This window comes from Homo sapiens, chromosome 6 (genome assembly GCF_000001405.40).
Source record: "Homo sapiens chromosome 6, GRCh38.p14 Primary Assembly".
Classification (NCBI taxonomy): domain Eukaryota; kingdom Metazoa; phylum Chordata; class Mammalia; order Primates; family Hominidae; genus Homo; species Homo sapiens.
In genome coordinates, this window is record NC_000006.12 from 106,726,773 (window position 1) to 106,747,742 (window position 20,970).

The window sequence follows — 20,970 nt, forward strand, 5'->3', positions numbered from 1 at the left end:
ACTAAAGCCCCTATGTTTTATACCACACAGTTAAGTATCCAGTTACTGATTATCTTGCTTCACTGGTGTCTTAATTCTGGCTGCCATACAGAATACCATAGACTGGGTGGCTTGAACAACAGAAACTTATTTCTCACAGTTTTAGAGGCTGGGAAGTTCAAGACCAAAGTGCCAGTAAGGCAGGTTTCATGCTGAGGCCTCTTCTCTTAACTTGCAGGCAGCCTCCTTCTCATTGTGTGTTCACGTGACCTCTTTGTGTGCTCACATGTGGAGAGAGAGAGACAGGGAACAAGCTTTGATTTCTCTTCTTTTTTTGTTTTGTGTTGTTTTGTTTTTGAGATGGAGTTTCTCTCTTGTTGCCTAGGCTGGAGTGCAATGGCATGATCTCGGCTCACTGCAACCTCAGCCTCCGGGTTCAAGAGATTCTCCTGCCTCAGCCTCCCAAGCAGCTGGGATTACAGGCGCCTGCCCGCCACCACGTCCAGCTAATTTTTTTGTATTTTTAGTAGAGACGGGGTTTCACCATGTTGGCCAGGCTGGTCTCAAACTCCTGACCTCAGGTGATCCGCCCGCCTCAGCCTCCAAAGTGCTGGGATTACAGGCGTGAGCCACTGCACTCGGCCTGATTTCTCTTCTTACGAGGGCCCTAATGCCCTACAAGGGCCCACCCTCATGACCCCATCTAGCCCTAATTACCTCCCAAAGGCCCCATCTTCAAATGCTATCAAACTGGGAGTCAAGGCTTCAACATGGGAATTTGCTGGGGGGACACATTCAATCCATAACAACTGGCTAATTGCTTCATGCATATTATTCTTGCTACCCAAACTACACTATAAATGCAGATCACAGACTGAGTAACAGTTCTCCAGTATTTCCTCTGTTTCTTGAGTGATTTATGGATTGATTGTCAGAAGTAAATTTGGTAATCTCAGACAAGACATGTAACACTGCCTGCCTCATTTTGCCCATTCGCGTAAATTCTTTTCTGTGTACTTTAATATGCATTCCTTATTTCCCTAAGGTTTTGCTATAATAGGCCTCAATAAATATTTATTGAACAAATAAATGAATTTTAGGGGAGATCCATATACAGAGTCACATATTTTCCCCATCTGGCAGATGCAAGGAATTTTAAGCTGCATTTCTTCTATTGGCTGTTGAACCTGGCAAAATGCCAACATCTCCATAGAAGTAACACTTTAAAATGTTATTAGCCATATACACTTTGGTGTGAACAAAGAAACCGAAGCTAATTCCTGATAGAAGCCATTTTGAGCTCTAGAAGTCTAAGGAAGGACAATAGTGAGGGACTAGAAGGGGAGGCTTGAAGACACCAAAGAAAAATAATAGCTCCTTTGCAATTTTGCCTAAAGCTCTAGAATATTGGTAAGCAAAATAATAACAATGAGATATCCTCTTGCTGTTTGTATTATTTCATGGCATTGATCTGAAAAACAGTCAATTATCACTAAAGCTCTTTCTACCTCCTTACTCCTGATTCCCTCAAAACATTTATCCTGTGCCTATGTGATGTACTATAAAAGTGCCTGGCCCCATTCCCCTCCACATTCAGCCTTTTGAGGGCCAGGGCTACGATCCTCCAGGCAGAAAGGAGGTAGAGCCAGAGAGCCCTTGAGGCTACAAGCTGAGCCTCTGCTGAATCCCTGGAGAAACTTGCCCTGGGGGTGGTGGCAATAACGTAGGCATCTGTCAGGCCCTTGCCATCTCCACCCACAGCAATCCCTGGCAGCAGCACAGGCCTAACTGTGGGGCCCCGGGTTGGGCAATGTGTGGATAATGCAGGACTGCCAAGGGCCTGGAGAGGTAAGGGCCTCTCTTAATGCAAGTGGCTTCACTAGTTTGGACGAGAAACACAAAATCACAGGATTCCCATGTCTGGTATATATTTGAGAAACTCGCTTATAAAAAAGATGCCCCCAGAGGACATGAACAGACATTTTACCAAAGAAGACATACATGCTACCAACAAGTATATGAAAAAAAGCTCAACATCATTGTCATTAGAGAAATGCAAATCAAAACCACAATGAGATACTATCTCACACCTGTTGGAATGTTAGGTTTTTATTAAAAAGTCAAAGAATAACATGCTGGCAAGGTTGCAGAGAAAAGCAAATGCTTATACATTGTTGGTGGGAGTGTAAATTGGTTCAGCCATTGTGGAAAGCAGTGTGGTCATTCATCAAAGAGCTAAAAACAGAACTACCATTCAACCCAGCAGTCCCATTCATTACTGGGTGTATACCGAAAGGAATATAAATCATTCTGCCATAAAGACATACTCACTCAAAAGTTTGTTGCAGCACTATTTATAATAGCTAAGACATAGAATCAACCTAAATGTCCATCAGTGACAGATTGGATAAAGAAAATGTGGTGCATATACACACGGCATGGAATACTATGAAGCTACAAAAAAAGAATGAGATCAGGTCTTTTGAAGGAACATGGATGGAGCTGGAGGTCATTATCCTTAGCAAACTAATGCAGGAACAGAAAACCAAATACCACATATTCTCACTTATAAATGGGAGCTAAATGATGAAAACACATGCACACGTAGAGGGGAACAACACACACTGGGGCTTATTTGAGGGTAGAACATGGAAGGAGGGAAAGGATCAGAAAAGATAACTATTGGGTACTAGGCTCCATACTTGGGTGACGAAACAACCAGTAGCGCAAACCCTCGTGACACGAGTTTACGTATGTAACAAGCCTGCATGTGTACCCTCCAACCTAAAATAAAAGTAAAAATAAAAATAAACAAGATGTCCCCAAGGACATGGATTCTATGGCTCTCCTCACACTTTAAAGGATTCAGGAATTATAAATACCAGTTACCCTCTCGGTTAATCAAGAGATTATTCATATTCCGACCTCAAATTGTTTAAGCTGAATCTAATCACGAGGAATGAGGAAACAACCAGGCAAATTGAATTGGAAGTTGGAAATTGAAGGATGTTCTACAAACCAACCAGCCTGCCCACCCCAGCTAGTCATGGTCAGGGGATGGGACCATGATAATTGACTTAGAAGTTGGAAATTATCTTGAGCTGTGGCCAGGTCACCTTCCCCTTAGCTGGAGAGAGCTGGACCCCTAAACAGCACTGAGGTCCTGTTTGGCAGGGAGAAGGGCCTGCCACCAGAACAGTCAGCAACAGAAGGGCTGGGTCCAAGTCTGAATATTGACATATTTGAGCAGGTGGAGAAGGAGGGAGGAAGTTAGGGGAAGCTTTGTAAACAAGAATGCAAAGTAGCATGCAAGAATAGAAATGCATTCTACTGGGTGTGCATTCTTTACGTCATGAAGGACACAATCTAACAGAATGCAAAAATAGAAGCAAGTACAGGTAGAGCATGGTGGCTCACGCCTACAATCCCAGCACTTTGGGAAGCCGAGGTGGGAGGATGGCTTGAAAGTTCGAGACCAGCCTGGGCAACAAAGTGAGAGTCCGTCTCTACACAAAAGCAAAAAGTTAGCCAGATGTGATGGCATATGCCTTTGGACCTGTGGTCCCAGCTACATAAGAGACTGAGGCAGAAGGATCACTTGAGCCCAGAAGTTTGAGACCAGCCTGTGCAACAGAGTGAGGGCCCATCTCAAAAAAAAAAAAAAAGAAGGAAAGAAGGAGGGAAGGAAGGGAGAGAGAGAAAGAAAAAGAGAGAGAAAGAAAGAAAGAAAATAAAGAAAGAAAAGAAAAGGAAAGAAAAGAAAAGAAAAGGTAAGTATAGTGCCTGGTGTCCAGTGGAACCAGCGAGATGATGGGCTGGACTAGAACTTATGACAGAAGTTCACAGGTGTGGAGGATAAATGGGAAAGACAGCTATGAAAAGCCTTGATGAGCAAGGAGAGTTCTTCTAATTGAACCCAAGGATACAGGACAGCCACCGTGGGTCCCTTGGCAGTGGCTTGGTGAGTAGAGACCATTATTTTAAGAAACGCCAGTCTGAAATGAGCCAGCAATTTAAATATTTTTAAAAGTTCAAATACTGTTTTAATTTTATTCCTTTTCTCTGCAAGCCCGGGGCACAGAACCTGGAGATGTAGCCGTTTCTCTTTAAAAGTGTTGCTGCCAAGTGAAGCAGGCCTGCCAGAGAATGCGACCTGCAGTATAGAAGAAACTAGCACATGCATTCTAGATTATTCCAGTGGAATGTAGCATCTACTTGAATTTTGCTAAAGCAATGCCAAGTTTTTTCTCTTTCAGTGAGTTTGAGTTCCTATGGGCTAGAGAAATCGTTTTTCAACTCCTAAGCATTATAGCATCACCGTGGAACCAGCAGGAATTAAGCTTCACCTCTCCCATTCCTCTCACTTTTTAAACTGTTTTACCACAATTTACCTCCCTCAGGACACTTTGCCCTCTGAGCAACCCAGAGATGCTAAGCCCAAGTCCACGTAGAGCTGCCCTGTGCCTTTTCTCACGACTGCAGGGCACAAGCCACCCCACTTCTCAGCCTTGGCTCATGGCTCATTAGCCACCAGGACTTAGTTTAGGGCCAAATTCAGCTCACATTGCAACCTTCTGGCTGCCAGGGCAGAAACAAAGTTTGAAGGTTGTTCTGTCCAAACAATTTGCTCCACAGAGCAGATTAATTTCTTACTGGCAAAATCCATACAGTTAATAATTATCTAGACTGGGGGAAAAGTACCAGTAAATCGATTGCCACATAAAATACAATTTAAAGAATAGAGCACAAAGAGAAGAAATCTGGGCGTGTTCTTCCAGCTATTCCAAACCAGATTCACATATAAAGACCTTCCATCCTGTATCTACTGCCCCACCTTGTCTTGTAGGCTCCAGAACCATATTTCAACCTTCACTTTCAATGGCTCCTTTTTGCCCTTAGTAAACTAATCAGCATGGGTAAACAAACCAACAGTAAACCAACCAAGCCCCTTGTGAATCAGCCTCCTGCTGACACTCCCCTACCCATACCTACCCCATATAGCAATCACACACAGGAAATCTCTTGCAAGTCAAAGGCCCCATGCTCTCCTGGGCCTCCGTGCCTTTGCACGTGCTGCTCCCTCTGCCTGGTGCCTTCCTGCCTGGCTCACTGGATCATCCTTCAGAATGCAGTTCAGGGAGCATTTCTATATGACATCCCTGACCATCATGCTCTGGCTGAAGTGCTTGTCTATCCCTTGCCATAGTCCCTGCCATGGCTGTATCTGATGAGTGCGTTGATCTGTTTAGCTTCACACTAGGTTTAGTGGAGATCTGTCTGGGCCTTTCATCCTTGTACCCCCAACCCAGGCCCTTGTTATCTATTCCAGGACTTCTGCAGGCACCTTCATAACAGGTCTTGATGCTTCCAATCAACATCTCCCCTTCCCAGTTCTTCCTTTTCACTGCCTCCAGAGTTGTATCTCTAAAACACTTCATTCCCCCTTTATTCTGCTTACAAACCTTCTATTGTTCCCCATTGCCCCAACTCTGTGGCAAGCATTCAAGACTCTTGCCAACCTGATGCCAAATTTCTCCTTTATGTTCTTCTTCTACCGTTTCAGGCCATAAATCCATGCCACAGTCAAGAGTTCCCCAAAGGGGCCACAAAATGTCTCTTTTCCACATTGGCTCATGAGGTTTTCTCCTTTTCTATACCTGATAGGCGAACTTCAATTGTAAGACCAGGTAAAATGTTACCAGTAAATAGCTCTCAGCTCCTGAGCCAGAATTCATTGCTTCTGTAGGGGCTGGTAACTTGGTCCAGTTCTGCTCAGCTGCTCCTTTGTTGCAGACTGAGCCCATGACCAGAAGCCTCAGCTGCTCCAGCAGATGGTGGCTAGAATTTTTTGAGTTGTTTTTAACCTGGTGCTCTGAGACTGGGGTGAACCTAGGGAGCTGAAGCAGCAATGCCACACCCCCAACACATCATACACACACACACACACACACACACACACACACCAGGCACACGCATAACATGGACTTACAACATGCCATCATGTTGGCATGATGGGCACGTTATAAGGATGGGCTGGCAGGGCGCGGTGACTCACGCCTATAACCCCAGCACTTTGGCAGGCCGAGGCAGGCAGATCACTTGAGGTCAGGAGTTTGAAACTAGCCTGACCAACATGGTGAAACCCTGTCTCTACTAAAAATACCAAAAAAAAAATAATAATAATTAGCCAGGCATGGTGGTGGGCGCCTGTAATCCCAGCTACTCCAGAGGCTGAGGAAGGAGAATCGCTTGAGCCCGGGAGGCAGAGGTTGCAGTAAGCCGAGATCGCGCCATTACACTCCAGCCTGGATGACAGAGTGAGACTGTCTCAAAAAAAAAAAAAGAAAAAGAAAAGTAAAGAAAAGAAAAGGATGAGACTCTTGTCTTGAGCACTGACCAGGTACTCCATTCCTCCTTGTTCAGGACTGGATTCTGTCCTGAACTCCATCCAATATGGCCAGGGCACCTCCTTGGTGCTCTGTTACATGCTTTGTCATGAACCCCATCTTGACCCCAAGTGGAATGACCACTCAGTCCACTGCAGGCAGCCTTCATGAATACACCTTTCTATAGGAGGATCCACTTAATCTTCCTGAAGAGGGCACAAAAAACAGGCTCTTAAAACCTGCATCTGTCCTCTCCAACTCTTAACACATTCTGGTACACAGTTTTCTCAGGCAGCCCATGCAGAGTGGGTAAGTGTGGAGATGTGTATTATTCTAATCCTTCCAACACAGCTTCTCCAGACACGCCTTCCCAGGGCCAGTTCAGAGCAGGCTGGATGGACAGTGTGGTGTCTACCCTTGATGTGTAGTCGAACTTACTCAGTGATGCTTCCTGCTGCATGTAGATGCCTACAGCTGGTGGTGTTCCAAGGTGAGAAGGTGGGAGGGGAGCCAGATACATGGCTTGCTATAGGTGCAGACAGTAGAGGTTTATAAGCAATAATAAAACCAAATAAAAGGTAATTCACTTTTTATGAAAAGCCTATGAACTGGCAATTGCCCACAAATGGGCAATTCTACATAATGGCTGTGATAAAACACCTTCCTCGCAAAGTAGTTTTTGGGTTTAAATTCTAAACAATTTCTGTGAGTTTTAGCTAAATACATGTATGCTTCAAATTAGCAAATTGTATTACTTATCCGTTGATATGCATTGTTCTCTACATGAAAGCGAATTTTGGAACTCCCTGTTAGTCATACTGTCTCCTAATACACACAGACTCACCTGCACAGTCTCAGTGGCACCAGGATAAGTCCAGAAAGGACAGAGTTTCCACCAAGGCAGTTGTTTGTCCACCTCCTGGGTACTATATATGTCTGCCTTTACATAATGCATTTGAAACAAAGAGAAAACAATGATTGTAAAGATAAAGAAATAGAACTTCAGTTGCTTCAATACTGCCATTCCACGTAGCCACTTGTAGTTTTTATTTGTATTTTAAAAAATGTAGTAGTGAAACAGAGCATGCACTTCAAGGTATGGTATTTTTTAAACTTTTTTAGAATGGAGGTGAAATTTATAGAACATAAAAATAACAGTTTTAAAGTGTACATTCCGTGGCATTTAGTAAATTCACAATGTTGTACAACCATCACCTCTGTCTAGTTCCAAAACTTTTCATCATTCCCAAAGAAGATTCCATGCCCATTATGCAGTCACTCCCTGTTCACCCCCATTTTTGGTTGCAAGTACAAATTTTAGTTCACACATGAAATTTTTTACCAATTTTTAAATGCATATATATATATATATGTATGTATGTATGTATGTATGTATGTATTTTTGTTCTTTTTTTTTTTTTTGAGACGGTGTTTCTTTCTTGTTGCCCAGGCTGGAGTGCAATGGTGCCATCTCAGCTCACTGCAACCTCTGCCTCCCAGGTTCCAGAGATTCTCGTGCCTCAGCCTCCTGAGTAACTGGGATTACAGGCGCCCATTACTACGCCCAGCTAATCTTTTTGTATTTTTAGTAGAGACGGGGTTTCACCATGTTGGCCAGGCTGGTCTTGAACTCCTGACCTCAGGTGATCTGCCCACCTCACACTCCCAAAGTGCTGGGATTACAGGTGTGAGCCACCATGCCCAGCCATAATATATTTTTAGTTTGAAATTTTCTTTATTATTATTTGTTATAAACTGTAATTTTATCATCTCATACTACAACAAACATGTAGGTTTAAGTCTTCCCTGTTTTCAAAAGTCGTATTAATGTTATAAAATATTTAATCTATTTCTTTTTATTTTACTATAATATTTATTTCACTTCTTTTTTCTTTTTTTCTGGCATAACAGTATATATGAAGTTCAATTTTTAAAATTTACTGACTCTTTTTTTCCTGGACATTGTTATTATCTATTCCATTTTTATGATTATTACTGAAGATAATTTTGTTGTATAGATGAAGATCGACAAAAATCAATTCATTCTGGGCATCAAACAAGCCAGATACACACTGACCATAGCTGCAGAAATGTAGCTTGGTCCCTGTTTGATCATCAGTCCTTTCATTGCTGTTTCTGCTTGCAGTTGGGGTCACATACCTTGCTGACTCCTCCTACTCTTTAGTCATGCATGGGGAGTGTAGAGGAGGAAAAAACTTTTTTCCTCTTCCTCCTGGGTTCTCCAGCTGGGGGCCTGCAAATGAGACTGACAAAAGGCAGTCTAAAAAGCAAGAGAAAAACAGAGTTTATTAACATATGCAATGCACATACTCACAGAAAAACTCAGTGATGAGCAAGTCAAAGGGATGGTTAGAGGTTGGGGCTTATATAACACCTTAACGAAGAACAATAAATTTGTAGAGAAGTGATGAGACAAAGGAAAGGATTTTAGCCTTCCAAGGTGCTATGGTTTCAATGCCCTTTCCAAGATTCACGTTGAAATTTATTGCAGGGCCAGGCATGGTGGCTCATGCCTGTAATCCCAGCACTTTGAGAGGCTGAGGTGGGAGGATCACTTGAGCCCAGGAGTTCAAGACCAGCCTAGGCAACATAGTAAGACCCCATCTCTAAAAATAATTTATTGCAGGAGGTGGAGCTTTTAAGGAGTGATTAAGTCATGAAAGTTTGGCCCTCATGAATGGATTAATGCTGTTATCACAGAGTAGGTTAGTTATTGAGAGTGGGTTCCTGATAAAAAGGAAGGGTTTGGCCAGATTTCCTCTGTCTCTGTTTCATGGACTCACTTCCACCTTCCTCTCTTTAACCATGGAATGAGCCTTGACAGATGCAGGTGCCATGCCCTTGGACTTCCCAGCCTCCAGAACTATGAGCCAAATAAATCTCTTTTCTTTACAAATTATGCAATCTGTGGCTTCTGTTATAGCAGCAGGAAACAGACTAAGACACAAGGGCAGAAAACTGTGGGAAGATAAATATATGAGGGAAACTAATAGAAAGTCAGGATTGTCTTAGTAAGGTTTGTGGTATAGATTCCCCTCATGCTGTCACTGAGCTAAAAAAAAAAAAAAAGTCTGGTGATTAAGCATCTGAACCTACTTCTAGGCAAATGGTGGGGGAAGGAGAGGAGAGTGTTTTTTTGGTGTCCACTGTTTTCAATTGTCTTCAGCTTCAAATAATCCTTACGCCAAAGTACAAATTTTAGGGTGGCATATTCTGATCCCCTACAGTAGCCATCTCTAGAGCTAGCTCCACTCAGGAGAGACTAATGCTCCTTTAGCTTCTTCCTCTTCTCTGAGTCCCTTACTTCATAGGGAAGCCCAGTGTTTCCAGCTTTCACTGCCCCTCATTAGAAATAGGTTGGAGATCCCCTCCCAAAAAACTGGCTGGGGCAGGTGAACTCAGCACATGCCCTGGGGGCACAGTTCACAGAGTGGAGCAAGCCCCAGCCCATCCAGAAGATTTCATGGAGCTTCTTTTTTCAAACACTCTCCTTAGTAGACAGGCATGTCTAAAAATATATAAACAAACTTGAAAGTATTGCAAAATATTTTCTCTCAACAAGTATAACTGAATGATCTTGCCTTGCCAGAGGCGTGAGGACTTCCTAACCTTATCTCCACGGGTCTGGCATGTTTACACCCAGCAGCCCTTAGTCTTAGTGATGGGAGATTACCTGAGCCAGTTTGGCTATCTGGGTGCCCATTATTTGAGGACAATTTTTTAAGTTTAGGTATATGTTTTAGTATTAAAGAGAGTGCTGAGATAGTATCATCAATTATCTATCCCAATGAGCCCAAGAGGTGTGATAACCAAACAGGCTTAAAAACTTTCAACTCCTCACTCTGCATACAACATTGCCGAGAACCTCCCCATAAATGGAGGCTAATCCACAGACAGGCTGATAAAGCTTCATTGTTGGGGCTCCTCACTTGTACAAGCTTCTTCCAAAGCTCCATACCTAATTGTGTATTCATAATTTGTGTTCTTTTTCTTAAACAGGTCTGAGGGGAAAAAGAGACAAACTGTTTTCTCCTCCTATGCTCTCACAACATAGAACGTTTCTTTGATGAGATATTTCCCCACATACCAAGCAATTCTCCAGCAGACACCAGCTGGGTGTCCTCTAATTCAGTTTAATTCTGACACTGTCTACCTGGTGATAGTATCAGATCCCACTGGTTAAGGGCTCAGTCCCACAAGTTTACCCCTACCCCCAACTTCAGATGCCCATGACAAGCCCCAGATTGTGACCTGTGCTTCTGACCACCAGCTATAAATTGGGGTTCCCACAACTCCCTCCTTGGGTTTGATTTATTTGCCAGAGTGGCAAACAGAATTCAGGGAAACACTTTACTTATGTTTATCCATTTATTATAAAGGATATCATGAAGGATACAGATGAACAGCCAGATGGAGGAGACACACAGGGCAAGGTATGTGGGGAGGGGCACAAAGTTCCCATGCCCTTTCTGAGCATGCCCTCCAGGTACCTCCACATGTTTTGTAATCCAAAAGCTCATCCAAGCCCTGTCCTTTTGTTTTTTTTCATGGAGGAGTCATTATATGGACATAACTGATTAAATCATTGGCCATCGGTGATCACCTGAACTTTCGGTCCTTCTCCCCAACCTAGACATTGGGGGCTAGAGCTGAAAGTCCCAATTCCCTAATCATGCCTTGGTCTTTTGGTGACCAGCTTCCATCCCAAAGCTATCTAGGAGCTCCCAGCCACCAGTCATCTCATCTGCTTACAAAAAGACACTTATCCCTTTAGAGATTCCAAAGGTTTTAGGAGCCAGGTGTCAGGAACCAGCAGCAGAGACCAAATATGTATTATTTATTATACCATAATATCATAACAGAGTTCCCCAAATTATATAAACTTCAAGCCCCACAAATCCTGGATTGACCCCTGCTTCTACATATCCCTTTAATGGACCTGTGTGAGAATTTCTAAGAGACCTATGCCCCGAATAGACACTTAATTTGATTAGCTAATGCCAGATCATTCTCCAACCTGTGCTTCCACGAGCAGCAGGAAAATCTTATTCCCACACCTCTGCCAGCATTGGCATTCTCAAGCTCTCTAAATTCTCTAGGCTAATAGCTGTGTAATAGCCTTACAGCCTTATACAGCCTTGAGTTATTGTAAATTGTCTGAATATGACACCCATTTTTCTTTTGGGGTACTATCCAGAGTTCTTTGTATATTCTAGATATTCATCCCCTTTGTCACTTTTAGACCTCATAATCTCTTCCCAAACTGTCATCATCTCTTCAGTTCAACTGCGATGTCACTTGTTCACAGAAATCCTTAATTTTGGTGTAATCCGATCTACCAATTTGCCTTGTGGCTTGCACTTTCGAAGTCTTGTTTAAGGATTTCTTTACCCCTTCCAGGTTGCAATACTTTTCTCCTGTTAACTTTATGATCTTATCTTTCACCTTTAGGTCTCTTGTCTGTTGGAGATCTCCTTTGTATGTGGGGTTAGATATGGATCCTACTTTAATTTTCTCTATCCTTTCTTTCTCTGCCTATTTTTCCATCACCATATACTAAACACTCCATCCACCCCCTAATTAAACTGTGGAGCCAACTCGGCATTGTATGAAATTCACAAGTAAATGCAGAGCTACCTGTGAACCGTCTATTCCACTCCACTCCCACATTCAAAACAACTTTGTAGGGTGTCTTGCTATCTGGTGGGCAATTTCCCCTCTTTATTCTACCATTTGATTTAGCTCCTTGTGGAACTTATTTTTTCCTATACATTTTATTTATTTATTTTTAAAATATGGAATGCTTCACAAATTTGCATGCCATTTTTGCACAGAGGCCATGCTAATCTTCTCCGTATGATTCCAGTTTTAGTATAGGTGCTACCACAGTGAGAACTCCTATACATTTTAGAACAAACATATCAAGTATCTATAAAAAAATTACAACTAGGATTTTAACTGGGATTGCACTAGATTTATAAGTTAATTTGGGGATATTTGACATCTTTATAATTTAAGTCATGTCATCTAAGACCTGGCATGTCTGAGGGGAGAGAATTGTGAGAAGAGATTGAAATAGATATTAACGAATGTCTTGGAGAGGGTCCCAAGTCCTGTCCTTACCATTGGCCTTGCTTGAGTTTGGGGGCTGGGCAACAAAAACCCATTTTAGTCAAAGAAGAACTGAGTGCAGAGGGAACTATGCTTCGCTTCCCTGGGTGTGAACCAGGGGCTCTGCAAGCGTATAGGAGAAGCCCCCATCTGGCAAGGACTGAGTGAGAGGCCAAGGAAGTCAGTGTCTCAGAAGCCCCCCCAATACCCAGCAGGGGGAAGAAAAAGCAGCCAAGCGTGCCCAAGCACCACAGGCTTGCAGAGCCAAAGGAACCTGGTAATATGTGGGCCTGGTGACGTGAGGCCATGGTGGATTTGGGCACAAGTGGTAGATGCCAGCGCATGACTAAGAGGACAAGATGTGCCAAGTTTCAGCTGAGTCAATGCCAATGGAAGGCAGAGAATAGTGTGAGCCAGAAACTCCCTCTCACCAGCGCCTGGGTGCTGCAGTGCCCTCTCTCTCTGCACAGGAACTGTGACAGCCTTCAGGGAGAAGAGGACCTAGGAGGAGGAGAAAGATCCAGAAATTGACTATTGATTCAAGGAGTCGTGAGTTTTAAAGCAAAAGTTATCTTGAATTGATAGGTTCAGTTTTGTGGAAATAAATAGTCACATTTTATTTTTACCCCTGAGATACTGAACTATGGTGGTTATATAAATTTCATATCCACTATACAACTTTTAGTTTCTGCAGACTGGATTTCAGTAGTAGAATAAAATCTGTTGAGGAGGGACTTAGGGAATTAAATAAATATGATGTACCTATAGTAAGGCAGGAAGAAATTGAGGCATAGGCCGGGCACAGTGGCTCACACTTGTGATCCCAGAACTTTGGGAGGCTGAGGCAAGAAAATGGCTTGAACCCAGGAGGCGGAAATTGCAGTGAGCTGAGATTGTGCCACTGCACTCCAGCCTGGGTGACAGAGCGAGACTCTGTCTCAAAAAAATAAATTAAAAAAAAAAAGAAAGAAAGAAATTGAGGCTTAAAGAAACCAAAGGCTTTGCTTCTCATAAAAGTGAATTAATGGCAGACAAATGTGGACAATTTTATCATTTCCAGGCCTCACTGTTTCTAAACTTAAACAAATACTTTGAGGGGATTCTGGAATAATCCTCCTGAGACCACAGCCCTACTCACAGAGCTCTTCTAGTTCGTGGAAGCTGACCTACAGAAGGGGGAGCACTTCAGTGTGGCCACCTCTCTCCAGAGTAAAGTCATTGCCACACAAGAAGTGTCCAGAGCACAGAGGCTGGCTGGGTTTCCTGCTGTTGCCTGGAGATGCCCTGACTCAAACAGAATGTGCAGCCCCTCGGGAGGTCAGGCATCCTGCAGCTGGTCTGGGAAGACCCCTGGTCCAGTGGGAAGAGATGGGTGTGGCTTTTATTTTAAGAGATGGGGTCTTGCTACGTTGCCCAGGCTGGTCTTAAACTCCTGGACCTCCCAAAGCATTGGGATTACAGGCGTGAGCCATAGCACCCAGCCTTGTGTGGCTTTTAAATATCCCTTGTTTATGGACTAAAATGTTCTCTAATGAAAGGTAGATACTGCTTCTAAGATGCACTCCATTTTAGTTCTGGCATTGGAGGAGTTTGGAGTGTTTTCTGTGTACAACCCTCCCTGTACCTCTAGCACAAACAGACAATGAGACCCCCTCTCCTACCCCTCACCAGCTCTAGGGAACCCAGAGGAGTGGAGGCAGGCCACTTCTTCTCTGAGGAGAGCCTCCTCCAAACCATGCGGTCTTTGGGCATCAGCTGTTTCCCCTGCTGTATTGGCCAAGGGGACACCATCTTGTAATGGCCTCTGGTTGTAGAGTCCAGGCAGATCTCGCCTTCCAACCCAGTCTTCTCTGAATTTGCTGGCCAGCCATCATCATCTTCTTCTCTCCTTTGAAATGGAGGCTCAGGAACTTTGACTCTTTGTCCTTATCATTTGTAGGGGCCTGTCACAAAGCTGGCTCCAGGGTATTCTGTCCAGGCCCCTTGGCCACCGTTGCTCTGCTGCTCTGGTACCATGGGGGACATGAAGCTTCACTAGGGCTCACAGTCACTCCAGAACTCACCTTGGGAAGGGAGACCCTAGTCTTTCCACCCTGGGAGCCCCCCATGTTGACCTGAGGCATCTATTCTACAGCCTGTTCCCCCAGCACTCAGCTAGGGTAGGAAGCAGGGACCCCAAACCTGCGTCCATGTTCTCATCCTCTGATTTGATACAGCTCACAATGCAAGGATGGTTTTTATGTTTTTAAATGGCTGAAAAGAAGAATAATAGTTTGGGACACATGAAAATTATATAAAATTCAAATTTCTGCACCTGTAAACTTTTATTGGAACATAGTCATACTCATTCCTTCACATATTGTCTATGACTGCTTTTGTGTGACCATAGCACAGTGGAGTACTTGCAGTGGAGACTATGGGGCCCACAAAACCTAAAATATTTACTGTTCGGCCCTTTGCCATAAAGGTTTGTGGACCAACCCCTGGTCTAGGCTGAACTCTCCCTCTTCTGATAGCTGTGTATAGTCAAAGCTACTAGTGCTCCCAGAATGGTGGGGAAAAGCAGATGAGACAACTTCTGCCACCAGCCCAGCAGCTGCCAGAGTAGGGACTGTGGCTTTTATCATTGTTCTTAGGACCAGTACATATTCCTCTGATGGTAAATAATTTTCAGTAACTCCAAGTTCAAAAGTTCTCTTCATAACCAAATTGATTTTTTATATTTCTTTGGAAGAAAAGGTTACTACTACCTTGTAATAAGTTACTTTTTTACAGTGTTATAAAAGAATGAATTGGTGAAATAACTTCCAAGCAGGAAGATGTTCTCAAACCAGTTCTTGTTAATTTTTAGCTCAATCAGACAATTAGAACCACAAACTCAGGTATTAAAAACACTGAAGATGGCCAGGTGCGGTGGCTCACGCCTGTAATCCCAGCACTTTGGGAGGCTGAGGTGGGCGGATCACGAGGTCAGGAGACCCAAACCATCCAGGCTGACACGGTGAAACCCCGTCTGTACTAAAAATACAAAAAAATTAGCTGGGCGTGGTGGCGGGCACCTGTAGTCCCAGCTGAGGCAGGAGAGTGGCGTGAACCCGGGAGGGAGAGCTCGCAGTGAGCCGAGATTGCGCCACTGCACTCCAGCCTGGGCGACAGAGTGAGACTCCATCTCAAAAAACAAACAAACAAACAAACAAAAACACTGAGGACTGTCCATATATTAAAATAATTTTGAGTGTGTGTGTGTGTGTGCGTGCGTGTGTGGGCTGATCAGTTCAAAAAACTGGATTGAGAATAGGAGTAGAGTGTTTGTCCTCTTGAAGGAGATTTTGAATCTGATTCTAGATTTGTATTGTTTAAAATTTGCAGTCCATCTCTAAACTCATGGACTAGGAAAAGGCTTGGGGGGACGCTAGGAATGTAGCCATCTTTTGTTCAACTTTGAGAAAGCCAAACTGAAGACTTTACAACATAACAGTAAGTGTATGAACTTGTCTGTTCCTTTGCGCTTTCAAAAATTCGTTTATTCAACATTCATTTACTGAGAACTCATCACTTACCCTTATAATGCATTATATTAGAGGCAAAAAGCTACAAAGATATATGCCACCATCGCTGCACACAGAGAGAATCCAGTAAAGTGGGTGGGTTTTCTTGATTGTAAGGAGCAGACTCAGCTAGGTTAGCTCAGGAGGGAGATAAACATGGAACATCAATGGAGTTGGTCTTCCACAGAAGGAAGGAAGAGGCATTGGAAGGGATAGGCCTCACTGCCCTGGGACTGAGGAGCCACTCTGGCTCCAGGAGACTCCAGGGCTCTGTGGCAGGAGTTAGGGGGCCATGTCCACTGGCCTAGCTCAGTCTCCTCTGAGCTGCTTCTTTCCCTTGGCCTGAAACTCTTCTCTCCACCATCACTACAGCTTGCTCATAGTTTCAATATTTTGCAACCGGGGCTTCTTACAACCTACTGTAGCTCCAATTCTTATCTTTTCATTTCAAAGCATCCTCCCAAGTCTTTTCGCTTTTTCTTGACCTTTCTTTGGTTAAATTTCCAAGGTAGAAATGGCGTTTAACCCAGCTTTTATGTATGCGTCAGGTTATGAGAAAAGTTGCTGACCAACCTATCGATTGGCTGTCTTTTTGTTAGGTGTCAACCATGAACCAATCTGCTCTAGGGACGGGGTCATACAGGGCAAAGTATCCTCACTTAGAGCTGCTCCTTTGGGCTGTCCCTAGCAGGCTTAGTGGGAATGACAGACAATGGGAATAACTTGTTTACCATGGAAATAAATACATATAAAATTAGCTCTATGCTATGATAATACTGAGTCAAATTCCTTGGGCCAACATAACTGCCCAGATGGTGGGGAAAGAAAATAAACCATAACCAGGTAGGATTAGAGCTGGGGGAAGCTCTTGTCAACAGGGCTTGCTCTTCCATGGGTAGCCAGGAGGGCAACACCCAGGGGAGTAAGCAGCTTCAGGCTATTGTATCCAAGGGGTTTCCTGGCAGTCAGCCATCAGGAAGGCATTGTAAGAATTAAAGAAAGAGGAGAGAAACACGAAGGGTGGCTCAACAGTTAACAGGTTTATTTTAAACCTGGGAGGGACTTCTGATCGAGTTAGGTCAGAAGCCACACTCTCTTGCAGACTAAGAGTTTTTAAAGATTCAGGGTGGGAGAGTTTATCAGAGGCTTGGACTGCTTCTGTGTCTCTCTGTTGTGCTTATTTGGGAGGGAGAGTTGTGTGTCTGTTCCCATACATCTTTCTGTAGCTGCAGGCATATCCCCCCAATCTGCCTTTAGCCTTCCTATCTTAGTGCACCTGAAAGGAAAGGAATGTGCTTATTAAGGCCCACTGTTTTACTGGGGCCCATTGTATGAGGGTGAAGTTTGGCAGTTACCCAAGAGACTTTCCTCCCACTTCCCTCTGTGCCCGTCTTATCTGTATTTTACTGTCTGCTCTTTCTGACTGCTTGTAATGAGAAGACAAGTGATTTTCTTGAAATGCCTGAGGCTAGAAAGGGAGCTGGAACTTAAAGTGGCAGTGTTTGTCCGAGATGATGGTGCTCCTGTCCTGTCAGGCATAGTTCAGGGTGATGAGTTCCCTGAGAGCCAGTGATTGGTTGTACCATACTGAGGGTAAGTTCCAGTCTGACAAGGAAGAGCAACCAAAGTTAGGCAGGATCTCCAAGTTGTCTGAAGCTTGGAGAAAACAACTAATCCCAATGGGAAACTGGAGGGCTAAGCAGACACCAAAAATAGAGGCTCTGTCTTATAGAACGTGCATATTGTGTGGTGCATGTATGTGCATGTGTGTGTAGGGGACAACACTGATACAACTCTGAGGACATATATCAGTCACAATAACACAAACGATTCCTAGTGGTGCAAATGACTTGAGACCTTCACCTGCAACATGGCTAAGAGGCTACAGAAGACAGAAATTCAGAGGAGTGAGTGAGGATTCAGGGCAATTATCACAGACAACTCTTCAGCTGACCTTAACGTATGTATTTATCAGAAACAAAGGGAGGGAGGTGAGGAAACTCGGTCAGTAGAATCAAAATGTTCTGGCTTATCTGATATCTTCCCCCTTGGGCCTGAAATCACCTACATAGCTAAGGGGGTTGTAAGAGAACCCAGAAGGTAAATTACTCCCAGTTACTTGCCACAGAGTGAGGTCCACGTGGGGAAGCCAGCTAGTAGACTGAATCTCCCCTGAGGGTTGGTAAGAACATGCAAAGAAAAGAGCCCTGCAGGGCTAAGTCATCCTCTTCTTCATTTTCAAGGAGCAGGGCATCATGGGCCTTTTTCATCACTTTTCAAAAGTCTGAGCTGTTTCTGTTGCTTCCATTTGTTCACCATGAAAAAATCTACTTAGGTGGTCACCCCAAGTGCTTTAACTCTCTTTATCTGGAGTCAACAGCAGAAGCTTGGCTAATTAACAAAATGATAAAAATCATAATGATAAATAATAAAAATGGCTTCTTATTGGTAAAATTAGTGATCAGTCAATTAACATGAAGCAAGTGAGAAATGGGCTTTTACTATTGAACCTAATGGTGTTCGAGACAAGTGGACTGGGGAAAGCATTAGGGACAGTCTCTACTCTTACGTAAGCTGGGTGTAAGATTTTGGCCAGCCCTTCACTTGTCACCTTTCTAAATGGCATAAGAAATATGATTCTGACCTTGTCCTGTGTTCAGCTGTGAATTCAGACAATTCAGTTACCTGGTGCAATTAAAATCTGGTCTTTAGAATACTGCCCTGTCACTCTTAAGAGGCCCTTTCATGTAGAGTGTGGACAAAGCACTGAAAAGTTCAGAGGGCTGGAAATTTGCCAAGCTTACAGAACCAGCTGCATGAACGATTTTGGATCTTCTTACTGATAAATATGTATGTGTGCCAGCATTTGGGCTGAGATCTGCTTTCATTATAATATTATAGGAAGTAGGGTTATGAGGAGATGAGGCTAATCAGATCCCACTACTTCTTGGCCAGGCTTGGGAACCTTAATGATGCAGAAAAGGGATTTCTATAGAGTCCAGGCAGCATTATTAATTTGTCCACTTCACAAATGTTTCTCACATAACTTCCATATGTCAGGCATGTGCTCCTGTGTACCACACTGAGGGTACAGTGTTGCATAGGGCAGATGTGCTCCCCTCCCTCAAACAGCTTACAGACCAGGAGACAAGTGATCAAGCAAGTAATTACGACCAGTGGTGAGTAATATGGCAGGGAAATGCAGAGAAGCGGGGACACAGAGCAAACAGAATACCCATGGGTGGGAGGTTGACATAGTGCCTCCTTTGTGCTGAAAAAACTCAAGTGCTAGAACTTATCCATACACCACTGGACAAATGCCTGAAGGCCACTGGTGGGCCTGACCCTATTACAGAATTTACAGCTCAAGGACATTTTGAAGTCCTATGGTCATCCTCTTCCCATCAGCTTGGGGTCACATGGACACCTGGTCCCCTCCTATTTTTATTCCAGAGGACACTGAGGTTCAAATACACATGCTGCGGTTGGCAGATTTTATCCCTAGAGACCAAAGTATGAAGAGGCTCCATGACTTGCCCAAGGGCATTTATTGAGTCAACAGTAGAAATGCGAAGAAAATTCTGTCACCTGATACTGGGGCCAGCTCCCCTTCCCTTGACACATCATCTAAAGGGGGAAATAATCTTCTGAAGTATCAAATAACTCTGGTATTTTGATGAGTGAGCAAGCTGGTAAGCAAATAATGAGAAAAGTGAGTGTTGAATTTCCCTTGACATAACCCTTTTGGAAAATGCAGCGGCAGATGCAAGAAGAATGTGACTTATATTATAATGAAAGCAAAAATATTTTCAAATAGATTCAGGGGGCTAATAAACAGAAGGTCTGGCTATGAGTGTCAGCCTAAAGGAGAGCAGAGAAAAAGATCCTAGAGTTCTCAGCCAGGCAAGATGACTGCTTACAATACACAGCTTTCATATAGGGAGTGAGTGTCCTTTTTCATCCTCTTAGTTACGTAAGGGAAAGGGAAAGGCATTCTTCAAACACAGATCACTTCAGAGTAGTCTCACTTGAGAAGCTAGTGACGTGTGCTGATAAAATGACGGGTGCTGGATTCTTGTTGAGATGAGGAAACAATGCCTTTGGGGGTAGAGGATCTGTGAATCACTCCCTCTGTGCCAAAGAAAGGGACTCAGGAGAAGCCTGGCCTGAGTGCTATGAGTCCACTGACCCCTCAGTCACACTAAATATCTATGAGAACCATGAAGGAATGGGCTTCTACATTTCAGATTGCGAATTCTGAAAAGAATGAAATTCCTTACAGAAGTTTATCTTTATTTTCTACTGGGTAGAATTTCTAGAAGCTTCTTTAAAAATTGTGGTTTCCTTGGCCTTAAAGAGTGATAATAACTTTTCCCTCAGCATAATTCTGCCCCACCCTAAAACAGCACTGTGTCTGGTGCTTCTTGTTTGTCCCAGTGGCAGCACCTAGGATTAGGTTTCTTCAGTCTTCCTGTAATAAAACAAAACAACATTGAAATGAGTTTCTATGATGGCTACCTTTATGTGTCAATTTGACTGGGCCAAGGGCTTGCCCAGACAGCTGGTAAAACATTATTTCTGGGTGTGTCATGAGGGTAGCTGCATAAAGAACACCTGCCCTCACCAATGTGGGTGAGCACCATCTAATCCATGGAGAACCCAAGTAGCGTCAAAAGGCAGAGTAAGGGTGAATGTGCTCCCTTCTTGAGCTGGGGCATCTATCTTCTGGCCTCAGACATCAGACCTATGTATATACATCAGGCCTATGTGTGTACCTCTCTATATATCCTATATATTGATATAAGATATATATCTATATAGATCTATAGATCAATAGGACAGATCTATATATAGGATATATACATCTATATATCCTATTCCTAGATATAGGATCCAATATATAGATCTATATATCCTATTGCTTC

At 43.5% G+C, this 20,970-nt stretch overlaps 1 long non-coding RNA gene and 1 pseudogene across 3 annotated transcripts in view; both read right to left on the reverse strand.

The window, feature by feature from the left end:
• Nucleotides 1-20,970, reverse strand: part of LINC02532 (long intergenic non-protein coding RNA 2532) — a 70,090-nt gene that overhangs the window by 9,321 nt on the left and 39,799 nt on the right. For 2 of the 3 annotated variants that reach the window (NR_147987.1, NR_147986.1), the window contains one exon: nucleotides 19,574-20,516. This is a non-coding gene — a long non-coding RNA (long intergenic non-protein coding RNA 2532). Of the gene's footprint in view, nucleotides 1-7,209; nucleotides 7,306-8,525; nucleotides 8,647-12,928; nucleotides 12,999-19,573; nucleotides 20,517-20,970 lie in introns of those variants that run through there. The other variant, NR_033557.2, reaches the window with a different exon arrangement.
• RNU6-117P (RNA, U6 small nuclear 117, pseudogene) lies at nucleotides 12,176-12,282 on the reverse strand (annotated as a pseudogene).